Genomic DNA, 20650 nt, shown 5'->3' with positions numbered 1-20650 from the left:
CTGCTGACCTCAGGTGATCCACCAGCCTCAGCCTCCCAAAGTGCTGGGATTATAAGCATGAGCCACCGCTCCCAGCACGATTACGTCTTTTTATATGAGAAAAATTTATTGAGATCATAAGGAAAAAAAAAATCCCTGAGCCAAAAAATGTCAACCAAGAAGAAAAGGAAAGTGAGAAGTAAGAAAAATATGTATTTTAGAGAAAGTGAAGTGGGCATAGCAATCACATTGAAATCTGGGTATAGAACAACCTTCATCTCTAAAATTTGTATTTAGTCAACCACTATGCTAAGCAAGGTTGTGGTAGGAATACCTGCCACCTATTCTAGGCCACATGTCTCTTACGGGCAAAAAGTAAAGCAAAGCCATAATTGTGGTTCGATATTTTGGATGTATTAATTCTCATTTCAGCATTTGCATAGTCTCACATTTTGGAAAACAAAATTGTGGTGATTTCACTTGTCTCTCCATATCATGATTATATTCAAAACTAGGAAACAAACGTAGACTAAAGAAGCAAATACTAAAGAGTGAGATCATGCAGGTTAAACAGATACTCTTTCTCAGGGAAAAGTCATTTACCCATCATGAGCTGATATACTGTTGTGAGTTTATATGGTTTAGTGTATTTACAACTTAACTAAGTATACATGATTCACTGTGTACTGTAGAATATAATTAAATTGACATTTGCTGGTACGGAATAAATTTGCACATCAGTGAAATAAATGATGAAAATAAATAAAGTCTGAGGCCAGATAATTCCATTGGTTACCAATTTATGTCTTCAGCTCTACACCAAAACAAATATTACAACTCTAAACAAGCAAACAGGTGAAGAAGAGATTTGCTGTAACCTCAGATGTCAGAGAATGCATTTGTCTCTGAAAACATTTGTACTGGTTCTTTTTTTTTTTTTTTTTTTTTTTTTTTTTTAGTCACGCTGTACTTTATTTAAAGGTGGCCATAGCATTAAAGTGTGAATTCATTTTGTACAACCAGAAATGGAAAAGGAGTCAGTCAAGGTGGGGCAGAAGTTTCTAACAAAGTCTAAAGCATAGTTTTATATAACTAATAATAAGGACACAATGTTTAGCTTACTTAACTCCCAAACTGAGGTCACTAAAACTTAAGAATATCTACCAAAACTTAAGCAAAATCTCAGAGAGAAACTTTAAAAATAACATTTTATTTTTGATCATTCAAAATGTTTCAATCAATATTCTGAGCCTAAACGTGTAGGTGAGTGCTTTCTCCATCTTTGCACATGTGAAGTGCGCCTGAACCATAGCCCCACATTTTCTCAAACACCATCACACTCATAGAACAGAAAGGAAAGGGCAGTTTCACCAGCTAGCCCCCATACACCACTCCCTAGGGTCCTCCCCAGCACCTGCTAAATTTGGGAGGCCTGATTCCAGGGGGCTGGATAATGAGCTGGCAAAATAAACCCAGAAGAATCGTAATTGCAGACAAAGATAAACTCAGGTTCCAGCACAGATAGACAGCCCATACCAGTGCTTTTGATATTAGCTGCAGTTAAGCGGGCAGGAAAGGCTCCCACTCTATGGCCGGTGGTGTGGTCAGCTCAGCGCCGCCACCTCGGCAGGCTCCATCCCACCATCACCCTCCCAATCAGGCTGATAGTGTCTCCTTATGCCAAGTGGAAGGAACTGCAATCAAATTCTGACACGAACTGCAAATCCTCCAGGGCCCTGGGCTACTGGTTAGGCCAGTAGGGCTGTGTATCAACCGATTAAACCAATTAATAACTGGCAGCACAGCACGGCCTCCTTCTCAACAAATTACGATGCTGATCCCCAGACTCGGCCATCCATGCCCATGGTCTATTGTTCTTATGCTTTCAAAACGCCTCCCCTGCTTCATGCTTTCTAGTCTTGAGGACTTGGCTTAAATATGCTTCTGAATTGCCACTCCCTCTTGTTGACAATTCTTCTTTTTATTTTGGGAGACGGAGTTGCTCTTGTCACCCAGGCTGGAGTGCAGTGGCGCCATCTCTGCTCACTGCAACCTCCGCCTCCCGGGTTCAAGCAATTCTCCTGCCTCAGCCTCCTGAGTAGCTGGGATTACAGGCATCCACCATCACGCCTGGCTAATTTTTGTAGCAGAGACGGGGTTTCACCATGTTGGCCAGGCTGGTTTTGAACTTCTGACCTCAAGTGATCCGCCCCTCTCGGCCTCACAAAGTGCTGAGATTACAGGCGTGAGCCACTGCACCCGGCTGACAGTTCTTTACACCGTTCTCCAGTTGGGGCGGAGTGGGAGACACCACGGAGCCTACCTCTGCAGGAGGCATAGCTTGGCAGAAGGGAGACACCAGCCAGAGGAAGGGTGCACTTTAGGCACCGAACTTTAGGTAAAGCGCTCTGGGTCAGGCGTCTCCTCCAGAGTGGTCTGTTTAAAGTTAAAAAGGTCGCCTTCAAAATAGTTGTAAAATCTATACACTTACCCAGACATACACATTTTTCGAGACAGGGTCTTGCTCTGTCGCGAAGGCTGGAATGCAGTGGTGCAGTCGCAAGCCATCTTCCTGCCTCAGCCTCCCGAGGAGCTGGGACCACAGGCCCGCACCACCACACCCGGCTAATTTCGTTTTCTGTTTGTTTTATTTTCGTTTGTTTGTTTTGGAAGGATGGAGTCTGACTGTGTTGCCCAGGCTAGTCTCGAACCTCTGGGCTCAAGGGATCCTCCCTCCTCGGCCTCGCCAGGTGCTGGGGATTAAGGCTTGAGCCTCCACACCCGGACCTATTAATTATTCTTAATTAAAACATTTAAAGGACACAGCATTTGGGGTCAGCGCAGCATTTGCAGTGGCTGCTCCAGCTTCGGGGCCGCAGGTCACCGCGGGGGCCCGGTGCCTACTGGCCCGGCCGCCCTGCGGGTCAGCTCATGGGGATTCTCTGGAGAACCCTGAGCCCATCTCCTGCGCCTCGCCCAACCTTGGGTCCCCAGGCCCAGCCTCCGAGGCCCCGCTCCCAGCGCTGCCGCCAGAGCTCCAGGCTGCGCTCCCCCAGGCAAAGGCGCCACCGGCGTGTCCAGCGCAGCCTCCTCCTCCAGGCGGCGCGTGTGAGTCAATGGAAATGACCGTGGCGGGCGGAGCAGCCACCTAGGACATCGCGGAAGCCTCCTGAGGGGACTTCCACCGCTTGTCCCAGGAGGTTCTACAACAGCTGGCATTGAGAGTTCAGTTATAATATTTTCCGCCAGTTTTTCCCAGCCCGGCCCCCAAGCGTCTGATTTTAAAGTTCCCGCCTCAGGCTCCGGGGCGCCTACCCTGCAAGGGCGCCAGTTCTCCGACACCTGCTAGGGAATGAATCCCCATCCCAGGAGGAAGGCGTGGCGGGGACGGAAGAAACAACCACACGATCTGTGACAGCGACCAAGCTTTAGAGGCCCCGCGTGCCTGCCAGGCGCCTGAGCCCACACCGTCCACGCTTCCCTGCCCCGGCGGGAACCACCTGTTCTCCTTGCACCGGCGAGGGCGCGGGGTCACCCCCGCCGGGCCGACCCCAGGCGTGAGCTCCAGAACCCCCTCCCAATCGCCCCGTCTTGGGAGCGCAGGGAGCCTGGCTCTTCCCTGCCAATAACGAAATCATCACGGACATTAGGAAAGCGGGGCGAGGCTGGGAAGGGAGCGGCTTTAATCCGGGGTCCGCCCCCTTCAATTCTCCAGCGTAGCGGTCCCGAAAGTGGGGTGGGGACGGGGATTGAGGCTGAGCTCGCTTCTTCCTTGTTTTCCGGGTCTTGCGCTTCTGAAGCGAACTAGGCCTGGAGGAGTGCTGGGGGTCGAGGAAACAGGGTTGGGGTGACCGAGGGACAGGTGGGGCGGGCACCTGGGCCCCGGTCGAGGCGGATTCCGAGGCGGAGCCGCTGCCTGCCTGCGCCTCGCCTGCTCGGTCCACCCAACAGCTCCGCCCTAGACTCGCAGCTGCGGAAGCGGTGGGCCGGGTGGTGATTACAACCCTGAGCGCTGTCCCTTTGGAACCTGACTCCCGACTCCGCTCAGCAACCGGGACGTTGCGACCTCAAAGCCCTCTGTGCTTCTCCATCGATACCGGGCCGCCTCTCTCGCCTGCAGCGCACGCCTCCGCCCCCAGGGGCAGCGCAGCGAGGCGGAGACCCTCCTGCATTCCGAGCGTGCGGGGCAGCCCTCAGACTGAGGACCTGCGACTTCGTGGGACGCCGGTGTCCGCCACTGCGCCCCTCCAGGGAGCAGAGGCGGCTCTGGAAGTCGGTTTAGGGCGGAGACCGCGACTGGAGGGGCGCAGAACGCTCTTCCCAGCGTCCCGGGCTCCACCGGCACAATTTTAAAACCAGGGGCGAAATCCGAGTCCTGCTGCCACGCGGGGGTGGAGCGTGACCGCCTCGCCGCGCGCTGTCTCAGGCTCCGCCGGCTTTAGCGCCGCGAGGCTGCCAGGTGACTTCCAGGGCTCTGTGGTTCCTAGAGCGCTCCCGGGAGTCTCCTGGCTGCAGCGGGAACCGAGCTGGATGCCCGGACAGCGCCGGGGTCGTTTTTCTGCCCCCGCCCCGTGGCCGGAGCCGCAGGCCTGCCGCTACCCCCACCCGGGCCGCGCCTTCCTTCCTCGCGGCCGGACCGCGCCAGAGTCCCGGGCCCTGGCTGGAAACTCGCAGGCCCCGGGCAGCCGGGGCCGCAAGTGCGATGAAGAAGCGGGCCCGGCGCGCACATGTGGTTCCGGGCAGGAGCCCCGGCCGCCTCGTGCCCTTCTTCTCGCCCACGACGGTGGCCGGCGGCGGCCTCTGCTTCCCGGACCCATGAACAAAGCTGGAGATGCGGCTTTGGAGTCGGCCCTGGGACCTGCTTCTTCTCTTGGCTTTGGGGACCGTAGCCCAGGGCGTTCCCTCCGGGTCGGTGGCCAGGGCTTGCGGGGCGTGTGCGACTCGGGACCCCCAGCCGGGCAGCAGCGGCCGCCAAGCATGGCAAGGAGCAGCGCCAGCCTCTCCCCACCACGTCCCGGGATGGTGGGCGTCGGGTGGGAGCCGGCCCAGGACATCCAGGTGGGATCAGCCACCGCTCAGGCCCTGTCCCAAGCGGACGCGGCCAGAGGCAGTCTCAGCACCACGCAGGCCGCGGGTTCAGTGGGCAAAGAGAGGGGCCCCCGGTTTAGACCAAAAACGTGTGTTCTCCAACCTCCTACTTAAAAGCCCCTGTCTCATATGCTGGTTCCTGTCTCTAATAGTTCCTAGGTGTCTGGGACCGGTGACTTGGCCCCTGTTATCCCCGAGCTCAGCCGCAGGCTTCAGGGACCTGGGCAAAGTGTGGATAACCCTGCCCGCCTTTTGGGGAGGAAAGCCAGTTGCTCCCCTAGCCTCTACTGTGGCACTAGGAAGCAAGGGCAGCCAAGCTGATCGCTGGTTTCATCTGCACCACCCCACTCCCTCCAGCAGGTGATGAGATGGCCAGTGACGGGTGGGTTGGCAGCTGGACTGGCGTGGCATGGCTAGCTGACCTGGGCACCATATTCCCTGCCTATCACCACTCCTGGTTGTCCAACAAAGCAAAGTCACAATGACAAGATCCAGAGAGGGGAGTCTCCAGCTGGAGATGGTGCCGCTGTCACAGGGCACCAGAGCAGCAATGTGACAGCTTCTCATGGAGGCAGACTCTGTTCCCAGTCCCTACTCAACCCTGGCTTGATCCTTGTCAGTGTCTTATTTCTTTGCCTTGCCTTTTTCTCAGCCTGGCTTCCCTTCCAGGCAGCTCTGAGTGGCTCTTGGTCCAGGCTTGTCTCCATCTCTCCTTCCTCTTCCCAACTCCCTAAACTCAGGACCCAGTCACTCCTGCTCCTTACATACACACACACTCACACTAACACACGCACACACTCTCACCCTCTCCCCCCCACACACTCACACACACTCCCACCCTACCTTAGGAAACAGGTTTCCTTCCATGAACCTTTATTAAGACCTGTGGGGAATGACCAGGATCTGGGCCCCCAGTGTGTCTGTGAGCCAGCTTGTGTGTGTGTGCAAAGGTGTGAGTGTGTGAGCATCCATGTGGCTGTGGAAATTAGAAAGCATGTGTGTACACACGCGAGTGTGACAGTGAAGTGCTGAGAGTTGAAACAGTGTGCGTTTGGGGTCAGTGTGACCTTGGCCGTGTGGGCACACAGGTGAGCTGTGGCGACGGTGGAGGGATGTGAGTGACTCTGAGTGTGGAAGCTGAGCCCAGGGCAGATGGACAAATGCATCCTTTGAGCTCCTGTAGAGGCTGCCACTCCATACCTTGCTCAACTACTCCCTCTTTGTCATCCTGGGCTCCCTCAAATCAGGATGGGGTGCAGGAAGGGGAAGTGAAGCTGGTGACCTATGGGAAGGGGACTGTCTGCTTCCTGGGCCTGTCAGCCACTGATCTGTTCCATGTTCCTACAAATACTTACAAATCCCAGCTGCTGAGGAGCAAGACATCCTCCACCAGCCAGTTGGGGCTCCTGGCCTGGAGCTATGGAGCGAGACACATGGGGGAGGGGAGGGGGGACCGCATCAGAAAGGCTGGCATCAGGGACTCCTGAGTTCAGCTCCTAGTTTTGCCAAAGGTTAGCCTGGGCACCCCAGTATGTCTTCATCAGGAACTGCAGAGCCAGACACACCACCCACGCCTCTGCCCCAGGAAGCGGCCCTACCTCTGCCTGAAGAGAGAGACTCCCACCTCAACAGCCAGCTTTCTGCCTTCTAGTCACGCCTCTCAGTTAGGGGTAAAAAGAGGGGTCTTCTTGTTTTTTGTAGTGGGGGGTGTCTCACTGTGTTGCCCGGACTGTTCTCTAACTCCTGGCCTCAAGTGATCCTCCTGCCTGTAGCTCTGAAAGCACAGCAATTACAGGTGTGAGCTGCCACACCCAGCAGCTTCTTACCCTTTAAACGCCACACAAAATTCTCCTGGAGTTCCTGGGGGAGATTGTCTCTTTGAAATCAAAATCTTTCCCAGGACACCTTGAGCAATCCTTCAGGCTCTTTCTGGATTGGAGGCAGAAGAAATTGCAGCTCGGTGACCCTCCCTTTGCAAGGGCCCCCTCTGCAGCCCTTGAGGGGAGTGAAAGCATTTTCATTTGGCCTCATGCCCAGCTGCAGCCAGCTCTTTCACTTCTGGAGCTGGGCTGGTTGTGATAACCTGGAGGAGGGGGAATGAGTTGGGATGACTCACTTGCCCCAGCCCATCAACCCTGGCCTAGGCTTGTGGCCAGACACCTGGTTAACCACCCCAAGAGAGCTTCCTTTCTCAGGGAAATAATGATTATTGATTATTGATCCTCTATATCCACTTCCCAGGACACTGTCAGGCACACCACAGGCCCTTGGGCATTTTTGTGGCATCATCAGCCTTATTCCTGGATCACCATGTCAAGCTTTCCCAATAGCAGTTGGTGGCAAACTCCAACTCCTACTGTCAGAAGGCATCACAAGGCCCAGATATGCTGGGCCTCCCAGCTCAGGCAAGCCCAGCTGTCAGGGACACAGAAACCCCTGACACTGGGCCAAGATCTTTGCCCCCTGTCTTGGCTTGAAATTCAGATATATTGATGTTGAGCCCTCCTGGCCCGCAGTGGGACCCCCCTTAGCCTTACACAGGTAATGCCTATATCATGGCCTAGGTTTTTCCAAAAAGCCAGACTCTGGGAAGAACCTGGAGTGGAGGAAAAAACCAGGCAGAGGTAACCCCATGAGGGGCTCTGGCATGTGACTCCCTGCTGGAAACGTGCCCCTAACAGGGCATCAAAGCCAGGCAGGCAGGGGCTCCTGCTCTGCCAGAGGCTGGAAATCAGGACTGCAGCTTCCCATCTTACTCTGGGGATGCAGGTCAACTATTTTCCCTCAGATGAGAGATGCTGAAGTTCCAATTTTATAAGATGAGGAGAAGGGCTGAGGTGATGCCCATTCTGCCACTTTGCTGAGTCCAGAGCTGTGATGAAGAGGGAGAAGTCACAGGACAAAGAAGGGGGCTCAGGGACCCCGGAGTTTTCCTTGGCAGAAGTCAACTTGCCCCGCCCCTGAGAAAACTCTGACCTCAGCTGCCAGGGAGGAAAGCAGGGACTGGGGAGGAGGGGACAAGGAGAGGGAATAGTCTGGTGCTCTGTGCTCTGGGAGAGAAGTCTGATGGCGGCAGTGACTCAGGAAGGGTTAAGAATATTCCTAAAATAGCCAAGCCACAGCCTAAGCCAGTTCATGAATGCCTCTTCCAGAGAGCAGATCAGTAGCAGGAAAATTCAGCCTGATCTTCGCCCCACTGCCTGCCGCCTGCCCCTGGCTACTAGTTAAGCCTCCCACCCTGTCCCCTTCACCAACTCCTGTCCTAGTGGGGATGGGGTAGGAGTAGTCAGAGGGGCCAAATCTCCCCAGTCAACAGGGAACTCCAGCTGGGACCAGGAGTACTGGGCCCCAGTGCCCGCCACCACCCCCCCCCCATCCACACTCCTGGTCTGAGTCAGGTAGGAGGACTTGGGACAGACAGGCAAAGTGCAGGCCTTGTACATGGGATGGAAGGTGCCAGAAGAGAGCAGCCAAATTCTCCCACCCACACACATGCATCACCAGCCATGATCAGGTGGGACCTCCAAGATCATCCTCAAATACTGCCTTCTCCTAGCTCTGTGTTCCCCTTTACTTAGGGCATCTTGGAGTGAGATGGGCAGGGAGGGGTCGAGTGAGTCCCTTCATGAACAAACCTTATCTTTGTTTCAGGGACAGGACTGGGTACATAATTTGCAGGACCCGGTGCTAACTGAAAATGTGGAGTCTGTTCAAAAATTGTTAAGAATTTGAAGGCAGTGACAACATAGCACTAAAACAAGTTCAGGTCCCCTCTGACAGTGGGGCTTTTGCCACTGCACAGGTGGCACCTCTATGAAGCCAGCCTTGTGCAGGGGTTTGGTTTAATGAACATTTACTTAGCGCCCACTGCTCAGCTCTTCTGGCTCTGTAATATGGTGTGGCTCTGTGTCTGCACCCAAATGTCATTTTGAACTGTAATCCCCACGTGTTGGGGGAGGGGCCTTGTGAGAGGGCATTACATCATGGGAGTGGTTCCCACATGCTGTTCTCGTGATACTGAGTGAGTTCCCACGAGATCTGATGGTTTTATAAGGGGACTTTCCCCTCTTCTGCACTTCTCTCTCCTGCTGCCACGTGAAGGATGTGTTTGCTTCCCCTTCCACCATGATTGTAAGTTTCCTGAGGCCTCCCCAGCCATGTGGAACTGTGAATTAAACTTCTTTCCTGGAGTGTGAAAATGAACTAATAAACTCTGTGACCTCAGAGACTCCCTCTCAGTGACCCTGTTCTCAAATGTATGAAGATGGGTGCTCAAAGATCTCTCTCTAAACATGGAACAGGGCCTGTCTGAAGACATAAGTGATTAACTTCTAATCTATAACTAAGGTCTGAGTCCTGAAGACCTTCCTCTGGAGGCTGAGTAGTTAATCTAGATGGGTCCAGGTGCTGCAGGTGATTACCTTTATCTTGTTTCCTGCAAAATCATGGAGGTTTGGGAAGTTCCTTTAGACCCATTCTCGTATGGAGGTTTGTTTTCTTCTTTTTTCTTTCCTGCAAGGACAAACCGAATTCTGTGATGGTTTGTGTAGCATTTTTGAGTTTATTGCCAAAAATTGAGGCTCGTTTGTAGACTACATTTTTTAATAAAATAAAACTTTCTAGACAAAGAAATGCAGGTGAAACTGTTCCTTTGACACCATTTTCCAAATCTACACAGAGTTGATAGCAAATTTTTCTCTTTATCTTTCCTTAAATTGTATATATTCATATAAATGCTCTTAAATTCTTAGTGCAACCGAGTGGATTGTCATTACAGAGCATGTCCTTAGCATAGAGCACAGATCTTCCCACTGTCAACTGGGCTCTGTTCACAAAGCACCCAGAGCTGGCCTTCAATTTCCACTCCTCAGTTCCTTTGCCTACCTTATTTCTAAAATAGGGAAGGTATTTGTCTTTTTAATATTTAATAAATGACATTTATTATCATTCTGCCTACTGAATTTCACTTGTCTGTCTGGTAATAACCTACTCCCGTAAGAATCAATGAGTTCTTGGTACATATTGGTCTAAATTTGCCTCCTCTTTGAACCTTTTTCCAGTTTTCCAGGCAAGGTTGATTTATCTATCTATTTATTCTATGTTTCCATAACAATCTTTCCAAGCATAATACAGTAAAAAAAGAGCTGATGCATCATGTCCTGTCCGTTTCCCTCTGGAGACTTTGGAGCCAATGTGAGGGTACAGGTATGCTCCTGTAGAAGCTCTTTGGTCGCCTTTGTCAGTTTAGGACAGTTCTCAGTATGTAATTGTTCTCAGGTGCCATTAAACTAGACCTGAATAATTGAAGGATTGAAAGTGTTCAGAAATCACCCAGGATGCTTCAATAATTCATCCTAATTAGGGATATGGGGATAGTTTGCATGAGAAAGAAGTTTTTCTTTTTGAGGAAAAGTTAAAATTCAGCAGGCAGAATGAAAATAAATGTCAATAATTTTTTATTTTAAAATATTCATGTTTTACTATTTTGATATAATTTTTAAAGAAAAAGGCAGAAACCACTGCTTATTAGAAGGCAGATTTTATTGATTTTATACCCCTAGACTTGTTGCATATCAAACCTGTGTAAAAACATCTATAAATCAAATCATTAATTGCACCTAGTATAATAATTCTATATATGGAGGTAATGTTTGATTCTTCAGGAGCTTTAATAACTTGAAGCCCGTTTGATTGCTTTAAAATGACTTCTCATTGTATTTGTTTATATTGTATCATTAAGCAAAAGTACAGAGTAAGCAATTAGTGTGATTAATTCCTCTTCTATAATACAGTAAAGCACTGCCTCCATAGACCAATTCTCTGGGATCCCTGGAAAACATCTGGCATCCAGCAAGTCTTGACCCCTCTTTAGAAAGCCATGGAGAAACTGGAGGCAATTCTGTTAATTATTTGCCCTCTAGAGGCAATTGGGTTAATTACCCTCCCTTCCCTATCCATGACACAATTTCTCCAGTTACATGTAGAATGCTGTTATGTGTCTCCTGACCAGACCCCTTATTTCATAGATGTGGAAACTGAGGCCATGAAGGATGAGGTGACTGTTCACAATCCACATGGCTAGTTAGTGTCCAGAGCCTGGCCTGGACTTCTCTCTTGTTCTGGGGCCTTGAGTTCTCTCCCTCTTCTTTAGTACATATGGCCACAGGTAACGTAATCTGCGTACCACATTTGCATTTGGAGTGCATCTGTTTTGCATTCATTTAATCTTGTTGAGATGGTTTGCTTGCTGACCTACTCAGTCAGTTATCTTTTCACCTTTGTGAGTTGAGAGCTTTGTGTATTAAATCTGTAAAACTTTGCATCGTGGAAAGTGACATAATCTGTAGCAGACCCATGCTGTTTTTAGATGCATCTTCATTGTGGTAGTGACAGTGATTGAGAAACTTTACATGTTTTTCTGTGCTATTTCAGAATATGCCTTCTGAATTCAGCTAGAGGTGGAGTCAAAAACAACAGAATACTATATTTTTGTTTCTCTGATTTAGGTAAAATACCTCTTTTCTGACAAGACTAGGACTCTTACATAGACTACCATGAACTAAAAGAAGCACAACATTGCCAGAGTAACCTGTGGTACGTGTATTAATCACTTACTGAACATTTTACTTGCATTCTTTCAAGAAAATGAGTTTATTTTTAGATACTTAGTCAAATTATCTTGACTTTCTGATGTTTTTAAAGAGTATTTATAATAGATTTAGTTATTTCATTAATATTGAATGTATTTAAAACTAAATGCATCCCAAAGGAAACTGAACAGTTAAAACATGGTTTATTTCTGCAAATATTAACTTAGTGAGAAATCCCAGGGAATCTGCACATTTGTGTTTTCTATCTAACAATCATGAATTTCTTAGTGTATGTTTTGATCAGGCTGTCTTTTGATCACAGTTTTGTGACCACTCTGTTATTCCTCTCTCTCTGGCAGTCATTTCCCAGAATTGACAAGGAATTCATCCTGAGATGATTTCTGCTAAGTAAATCCTAGCACTTCTTGACACTTTAGAAAAGGCTTTGGAATAATTTTATATTAGCATTTTTCACCTGCATATTTTTACATGTAAATATAAGCTGTGAATGCATTACTTTGAAAGAGAGCCAGGATAAAATTTAAAGAAACATGGTTTTAGAAGTCCAATGGTAGTATAAGATTTCACAAAGAAACAGACTGCTCTTCATTCAGTACTTCCTATTTACTCCCCAGACACAGCCAACTTCAACATTTTTTACTTAAAAAATGTATTTTTATATTTCAAAATAACATGTTTATGTGACCTGTCTCTCACCCATCCTGCCCTACTCTGGCTTTACCCCCTTCAGAATATTTAAAATTTCTTGAGTATCCTTAGCATATACCATTCCAATCATGAATCTTGGGGTAGGCTTATTTTTTTTTTAATTTGTGCATTTAATAAACCCCTAGTGGTACATGTCTGTTTTTCTTGTTAATTCTTGGAAATGTCTTTCTATTGTTTCTACAATAATTTTCTTCCCCTCTAGCTTCCCTTTTTCTTCTGGATCTCGTTAGGTATTGAACCTCTTGAGTTGATTTTCTAATTTTTGTCATCTCCCTCTCTCATTTTTTGTATTTTGTGTTTAATTTTCTGGTATCTAATTCACCTTGATTTTCTATCTTTCTGGTGATATTTTCATATGCTGTCACTCTTACAGTTGTCAAACGCCTTCTCCTGACCTTGCCCTTGTGTTCTGTTTACTCTGCCCACCTCTTCGATTCTCCCCATTGCTACCTGGTGTTTTGGTTTCTTTTTCTTTTCTTTTCTTTTTTTTTTTTTTTGAGACAGAGTCTCGCTCTGTAGCCAGGCTGGAGTGCTGTGGCGCGATCTCAGCTCACTGCAATCTCCACCTCCCGGGTTCAGTAGCTGGGACTACAGGCACATGCCACCACACCCAGCTAAATTTTGTATTTTTAGTAGAGACTAAACATACATTTCACCATGTTGGCCAGGATGGTCTCGATGTCTTTACCTCGTGATCCGCCCATCTCAGCCACCCAAAGTGCTAGGATTACAGGCGTTAGCCACCGCTCCCAGCCTTGGCTTCTTAATTTTGTTTTATAAGCTTTCTTCAAAGGCCTGGTCATCATTTGCTGTGTGTTTATATATTTTTATTTTTTCAGTGGGCAAAATACATGTAACATAAAATGTATCACATTAACTATTTTAAGTGTACAGTTCAGTTGCTTTAACTATATTCATAATGTTTTGTAATGATTCCCACCATTCCTCTCTAGAACTTTTTCATGTGAAGCTCTGTACCTGTAAAACAGTAATTCCTAACTCCTGTCATCTTCCAGTCCCTATTAACCACCATTCTACTTTCTGCCTCTATGACTTTGCCTATCTTAGGTACCTCATATAAGTGGAATCATACAGTATTTGTCTTTTTGTGTTTGGCTTATTTCCATTAGCATAATGTATTCAAGGTTTCATTGTTCATCCACATTGTGAAATGTGTCAGAATCTCCTTCCTTTAAAAAGGAATAATATTCCAATAATATTCCATTGCGTGCATATATCACATTTGTTTATCCATTCATCCACCAGTGGGCATGATGTTGCTTCCACCTTCTGGCTACCGTGAGTACTGCTGCTGTAAACATTGCTATGCAAATATCTTTTTGGGTCCCTACATTTAATTATTGGGGCTATATACCTCAAAGTGGAATTACTGGGTCATATAGTAATTCTATGTTCAACTTTTTGAGGAACCACTGTGCTGCTCTGTAGAGCAGTCCACCACTTTACACTACTATTAGTAATGCACAAGGGTTTCATTTTCTCCATGTCCTTGTCAACACTTTTAATTTTCCATCTTTTGTTTGTTTGCATTATAATCGCCATTTTAATGGGTATGAAGTTGTACCTCTTTGTGATCTTGCTTTACATCTCCCGTATGACTTGTGATATTTTCTGCACATATTTTAAGGTTTATATACTAACAAAGCCGATTACTAGGGGGGTGTGTGTAGGGGGAACTGTGTGGCTGCTGAGTGGCTTCCCTGTGGGATGATCAGCCAGAACCCACTATTGTATCAGGAAATCCCCAGGTGTCACCATCTATGGGTCTTTTGTAGTTTTTATGGGTACACAGTAGGCATATATGTATTTATGGGGTATATGAGATATTTTGATACAAACATATAATGCATAATAATCACATCAGGGTAAATGCGTTATCCATCATCTCAAACATTTATCATTTCCTTGTATTATGAACAATTCAGTTATACGCAGTTATCTTAAAATGTACAAAAAACTATTGCTGACTATAGTTACCCCGTTGTGCTATCAAATAAAAGATCTTATTCATTGTAACTACATTTTGTACCTATTAACCATCCCCACGTCCCCCCACTGGCTACACTTCCCAGCCTCAAGTAACAACCATTCTACTCTATCTTCATGAGTTTGTTTTAATATTCAGCTCCCCCAAATCAATGTGAATGTACAAAGTTTATCTTTCTGTGGCTGGCTTATTTTACTTAAAATAATATCCTACAGCACCATTCCATGTTGTCACTAATGACAGAATCTCATTCTTTGTTATGGCTGAAAAGTACTCCATCATATATAGGCACATTTTCTTTATCCATTCATCTGTTGATGGACACTGAGGTTGCTTCCACATCTTGGATATTGTGAATAGTAATGCAATAAACATAGGAGTGCAGTTATCTCTTCGATATATTGATTTTCTTTTTTTGTGTATATATCTAGCAATGAGATTGCTGGATCATATGATAGCTCTAATTTTAGTTTTTTGAGGAACCTCCAAATTGTTCTCCATAGTGGTTGCACTAATTTACATTCCCACCAACAGTATGCAAGGGTTGGCTTTTTTTCCATATCCTCACCAGCATTTGTTATCACCTGTCTTTTGAAAAAAAAGCCATTTTAACTGAGGTGAGATGATATCTCTTCATAGTTCTGATTTGCATTTCTCTGATAATCAGTGATGTTGGCCACCTTTTCCTAAGTCTGTTAGTCTTTTGTATTTCTTTTTTTGAGAAATATCTATTAAGATCTCTTGCCCATTTTCAAATCAGATTATTAGATTTTTCTCTATACAGTTGTTTGAGCTTTTTATATATTCTGGTTATTAATCCCTTGTCAAATGGATAGTTTGCAAATACGTTTCCCCATTTTTTGCATTTTCTCTTTGTTGACTGTCTCTTTTGCTATGCAGAAGCTTTTTAACTTAGTGCAATCCCAATTGTCCACTTTTGCTTTGGTTGTCTGTGCTTGTGGGGTATTGCTTAAGAAATCTTTCCATAGTCTAATAGCCTGGAGAATTTCCCCAATGTCTTCTTGTAGTAGTTTAACCTACCAAGATTAAACCATGAAGAAATTCAAAACCTGAACCGACCAATAACAAATAATGAAATCAAAGCCTTAATAAAAACTACCAACAAAGAAAATCCTGGAAGCAATAGCTTCACTGCTGTATTTTACCAAACACGTACAGAATAACTAACACCAATCCTACTCAAACTATCCCAAAGAATAGAGGAGGGAGGAATATTTCAATGCCTGATACTTAAACCAAAGACAAATTAAAAGAGAAAACTACAGGCCAATATCCCTATGAAAAATTGATGCAAAAATCCTCAAGGAAATTTACAAACAAAACAAATCCACAACATATTGAAAATTATTCATAATGACTAAGTGGAATTTATGCCAGGAATGGAAGGATGGTTCAAAATATGCAAATCAATGTGATCATCATATCAACAGAATGAAGGACAAAATTTATATAATAATGTCAATTGATGCGGTAAAGCATTTGATAAAATTCAACATTTTATTGTGAAAACCCTTCAAAAAACAGGGTATAGAAGAAACATACCTCAACACAATAAAAGCCATATAAGACACTCCCACAAGTATAGTATCTTACTGAATGGCAGAAAAACTGAAAGCCTCTCCTCTAAGCTCTGGAACAAGAGATGCTCATTTTCACCACTCTGCCTCCTGAGTTCAAGCAATTCTCCTGCCCAAGCCTCCCTAGTAGCTAGGACTATAGGTGCATGCCACCACACCTGGCTAATTCTTTTCTTTTCTTTCTTTTTTTTTTTTTTTTGTATTTTTAGTAGAGATGGGGTTTCACCGTGTTAGCCAGCATGGTCTCAATCTCCTGACCTTGAGATCTGCCCACCTCAGACTCCCAAAGTGCTGGGATTACAGGCATGAGCCACTGGGCCCAGGCCTTCCTGTCTTCTTCTAAGCTCTCCAAACTGTTCCAACCTCTGCCCATTACCCACTTCCAAAGCTGCTTCCACATTTCCAGGTATCTTCATAGCAATGCTCTACTTCCCAGTACCAATTTTCTGTATTAGTCTGTTCTTGCACTGCTATGAAGAACTACCTGAGACTGGGTAATTTTATAAAGAAAAGTGGTTTAATTGGATCACGATTCTGCAGGCTGAACAAGAAGCATGGCTGAGGAAGCCTCAAGAAATTTACAATCATGGCAGGAGGTGAAGAGGGAGGTGACACGCCTTACATGGCTGAAGCAGGAGGAAGAGAGAGCAAAAGGGAAGATGCTACGTACTTTTAAACAATCAGATCTGGTGAGAACTCACTATACAAGAATGGCAAGGGAGAAATCCTCCCCCATGATCCAATTACCTCTGCCCAGACCCCTCCTCCTACACTGGGGATTACAATTAGACATGAGATTTGAGTGGGGACACAAATCCAAACCATAAGGTTAGTATTAAAAGTTAATTGCTTTCCTATATACTAGCAATGAAAAAAACTGGAATTTGAAATTTCAAATACAATGCTATTTACATGAGTACCCCAAAAATGAAATATGTAGGCATACAGTAAACAAAATATGTACAGGATCTATATGAGGAAAACTTCAAAACTTTAATGAAAGAAATCAAAGGAAACCTAAATAAATTGATATATATTTCATGTGCAAGGATAGCAAGACTCAGTATTGTTAAGATGTTAATACTCCCCTTCTTGATCTATAGATTCAACTCTACTCCAATTAAAATTCTAGCAGGTTATTTTGTAGATATAAACACATTTATTCTAAAGCTTATATGAAGACGCAAAAGACTCATAGTCAAAATGCTGAAGAATAACAACTCAGAGGACTGACACTACCCAACTTTAAGACTTACTCTCCAGCTAAATAATTGAGTTAGCATGGCATTAGTGAAAGAATATGCAGATTGATCAATGGTTCAGAAGAGAGAGCCCGGAAATTGACCTATGCAAATATAGTTAGCTGAGCTTTGACAAAGAAGCAAAGGCAATTAAATGAAAGAATGCAGTCTCTTCAACAAATGGTGCTTAAAAATTGGATGTCCATGTACAAAAAAAAAGAATCTAAGTTCAGACTTTACACCCTTCTCAAAAATTAAAACTCAAAATGGATCAAAGATCTAAATGTAGAATGCAGAATCACAAAACTTCTAGATCAAGAATATCCAGGTGACCTTGGGTTTGGTGATGTATTTTTAGATACAGCTAAGTGTAGGTGCAGTGGCTCACACCTGTAATCCCAGTACAGGTGTAGCTGTAGGGAGCTGAGGGAGGCAGATCGCTACAGCTCAGGAGTTTGAGACCAGCCTGGTCAACATGGTGAAACCTAATCTCTACCAAAAATACAAAAAATTAGCAGGTGTGGTGGTACGCACCTGTGGGGCCAGCTACTTGGGAGGCTAATGGGGGAGAATTGCTTGAGCCTGCGAGGCAGAGGTTGCAGTGAGCTGAGATTGCACCACTGCACTCCAGCCTGGTGACAGAGCAAGACTCTGTCTCAAGAAAAAAAAAAATGTCGTTTTATCCACTGGGTTTTGTTTCCTACTTTTTTGATTTGTGTTAAGAAAGGGGAAAAAAATCACAAGTTTGTCTAACCATTCAGTAGAAAAACAGAGCATTTGCAGACAACTTGGCAAGGGTAGAGAAATGGATGTACTGTTTTTCAGTATTTGGGGAAGGTGGTTTGAGCAGTATTTATTGACAATTTCATTAGTGGGGATGTTTCTATTAAAAACACATAGTAAGATCATTAAGTGTTCTTGCAATATAAAGTAATAATACCACCAGTGTTTATCTTACTGTTTTCGTGTTCTAAATGCATGCACCTGAGTAAAAGGATCTGGGCTGCAGTCTAGGCTGAGAGATGCCAGCAAAGGCTGCCTAGGCCAGTGCAGTCCAGTAAATCCCTCTTTAATCTTCTCTTCCACACAGACAGCAGTGATGAGCATGCCCACGAACCCACATGATTATTTTGGGAAAAATGAAAGAGTTGTATTCTTTTTGTGGTAGTAATTCCACTTCCAGGGGCAAATACATTTTGATTATTTTATCACCTTTCAGTGAGTTGTTTTTGTTCTTTAACCAAGGATGTATGTTTGAGGTAAGAAGTAAAGCATAAAGTATATGATTTTTTGTGTGTATTTTTATCTTGCTATACCCATAGGGAATGTTTAATTCTGCCTTGGAAGTGGCCATATTTGAAGGTGCTGTGATTCAAACTGTCAGCGAGATAAGGCAGCAGATCAAGAAAGCACTCCGGGCTCCAGAAGGAGCCTTCCAGGCCAGCTTTGAGCATAAGCTGCTGATGAGCAGTGAGTGTCTTGAGTAGTGTTCAGGGCAGCATGTTACCATTCATGCTTGACTTCTAGCCAGTGTGACGAGAGGCTGGAGTCAGGTCTCTAGAGAGTTGAGCAGCTCCAGCCTTAGATCTCCCAGTCTTATGCGGTGTGCCCATTCGCTTTGTGTCTGCAGTCCCCTGGCCACACCCAGTAACAGTTCTGGGATCTATGGGAGTAGCTTCCTTAGTGAGCTTTCCCTTCAAATACTTTGCAACCAGGTAGAGAAGTTTGGAGTGAAGGTTTTGTTCTTCGTTTCTTCACAATATGGATATGCATCTTCTTTTGAAAATGTTAAAGTAAATTACCTCTCTTTTCAGATACTGTCTTCATGCGAACTTGGTATCCTGTTTCCATCCCAGCCTTCTATAACCCAGTAACATCTTTTTTGAAACCAGTGGGTGAGAAAGACACCTGGTCAGGAACGCGGACCACAGGACAACTCAGGCTCACCCACGGCATCAGACTAAAGGCAAACAAGGACTCTGTATAAAGTACCGGTGGCATGTGTATTAGTGGAGATGCAGCCTGTGCTCTGCAGACAGGGAGTCACACAGACACTTTTCTATAATTTCTTAAGTGCTTTGAATGTTCAAGTAGAAAGTCTAACATTAAATTTGATTGAACAATTGTATATTCATGGAATATTTTGGAACGGAATACCAAAAAATGGCAATAGTGGTTCTTTCTGGATGGAAGACAAACTTTTCTTCTTTAAAATAAATTTTATTTTATATATTTGAGGTTGACCACATGACCTTAAGGATACATATAGACAGTAAACTGGTTACTACAGTGAAGCAAATTAACATATCTACCATCGTACATAGTTACATTTTTTTGTGTGACAGGAACAGCTAAAATCTACGTATTTAACAAAACTCCTAAAGACAATACATTTTTATTAACTATAGCCCTCATGATGTACATTAGATCTCTAACTTGATCATCCTATATGTCTGCTACTTTGTATTTTCTTAATGTACGTCTCCCCATTTGCTATTGGTCATTTCCTATTTGGCTCATTTTTCAACTGGGTTGTTTTCCTGTTATTAAAAGAGTTCTTTACTGATTTTTGGACATTAACTCTTTATCAGATATGTGATCTGCAAATATTTCCTCCAGTCTGTAGGTTCTCTTTTCATTTTGTTGGTTTTTTCCTTTGCTGTGCAGAAGCTTTTTAGTTTGATGCAGTCCTCCTTGTTTATGTTTCCATTTGTAGCCTGGCTTGTGGTGTGATATCCAAAAAATAATTGCTAAGGCCAATGTCAAGAGGCTTTCCCCCTATGTTCTCTTCTAGGAGTTTTAAGGTTTCAGGTCTTATTTGGGTCTTGGGTCTTGTATCTGTTTTGAGTTGATTTTTGTGTATGGTGTATGATCAGGGTCCATTTTTATTCTTTTGAATGTGAAAATCCAGTTTTCCCAGCACTATTATTGAAGAGACTATTTTTCTTTCCACTGTGTTGTCTTGTTTGCCCTTGTCAAAAATTAGTTGACAGTATATGTTTGGATTTATTTCAAAGGTCTCTGTTCTGTTCCGTTGGTTTATACTTTTTGTTTCTATGCCAGTATCATACTGTTTTGATTACTATAGCTTCGTAATACAATTTTAAATCAAGAGGTGTGATGCCTCCAACTTTTTCTTTCACAGTAATCTGTTGGCTGTTTGGGGTTTTTTGTGGTTCCATACAAGTTTCAGGATTGTTTTTTCTGTTTTTTTTGTTTGTTTGTTTGTTTTTTTCTTGAGATGAAGTCTCACTCTGTTGCCCAAGTTGGAGTGCAGTGGCACAACCTTGGCTCACTGCAACCTCTGCTTCCCGGATTCAAGCAATTCTCCTGCCTCAGCCTCCCGAGTAGCTGGGACTACAGGCACATGCCGCTATATCCAGCTAATTTTTGTAGTTTTAGTAGAGACAGGGTTTC

General features: G+C 45.0%; 2 pseudogenes across 3 annotated transcripts in view, besides 1 other annotated feature; one reads left to right on the top strand and one right to left on the bottom strand.

The window, feature by feature from the left end:
- The window catches only part of DUXAP9 (double homeobox A pseudogene 9), a 45121-nt pseudogene that overhangs the window by 5003 nt on the left and 19468 nt on the right, over positions 1-20650 (bottom strand). Inside the window, exons 7-8 of one of the 2 annotated variants that reach the window (NR_122112.1) lie at positions 9489-9579; positions 5886-6484 (exon numbers count right to left, since the gene is read on the bottom strand). The product of NR_122112.1 is annotated as a double homeobox A pseudogene 9, transcript variant 2 (transcript). Of the gene's footprint in view, positions 1-5885; positions 6485-9488; positions 9580-20650 lie in introns of those variants that run through there. The other variant, NR_122111.1, reaches the window with a different exon arrangement.
- Positions 3974-4902: an enhancer, noted in NCBI's record as "H3K4me1 hESC enhancer chr14:19889185-19890113 (GRCh37/hg19 assembly coordinates)". NCBI's record gives its function as "activates a minimal SCP1, AML or CMV promoter by ChIP-STARR-seq in primed H9 embryonic stem cells {active_cell/tissue: H9 hESC(primed)}" and the evidence as "EXISTENCE:reporter gene assay evidence [ECO:0000049][PMID:30033119]".
- Positions 9158-19361, top strand: BMS1P18 (BMS1 pseudogene 18; annotated as a pseudogene). Its single transcript, NR_073459.1, has 3 exons — positions 9158-9480; positions 11574-11661; positions 19048-19361. The product of NR_073459.1 is annotated as a BMS1 pseudogene 18 (transcript).

Source organism: Homo sapiens, chromosome 14 (assembly GCF_000001405.40).
Source record: "Homo sapiens chromosome 14, GRCh38.p14 Primary Assembly".
In the NCBI taxonomy this organism is placed as follows: Eukaryota; Metazoa; Chordata; class Mammalia; order Primates; family Hominidae; genus Homo; species Homo sapiens.
This window is presented reverse-complemented; position numbering and strand designations above follow the sequence as displayed.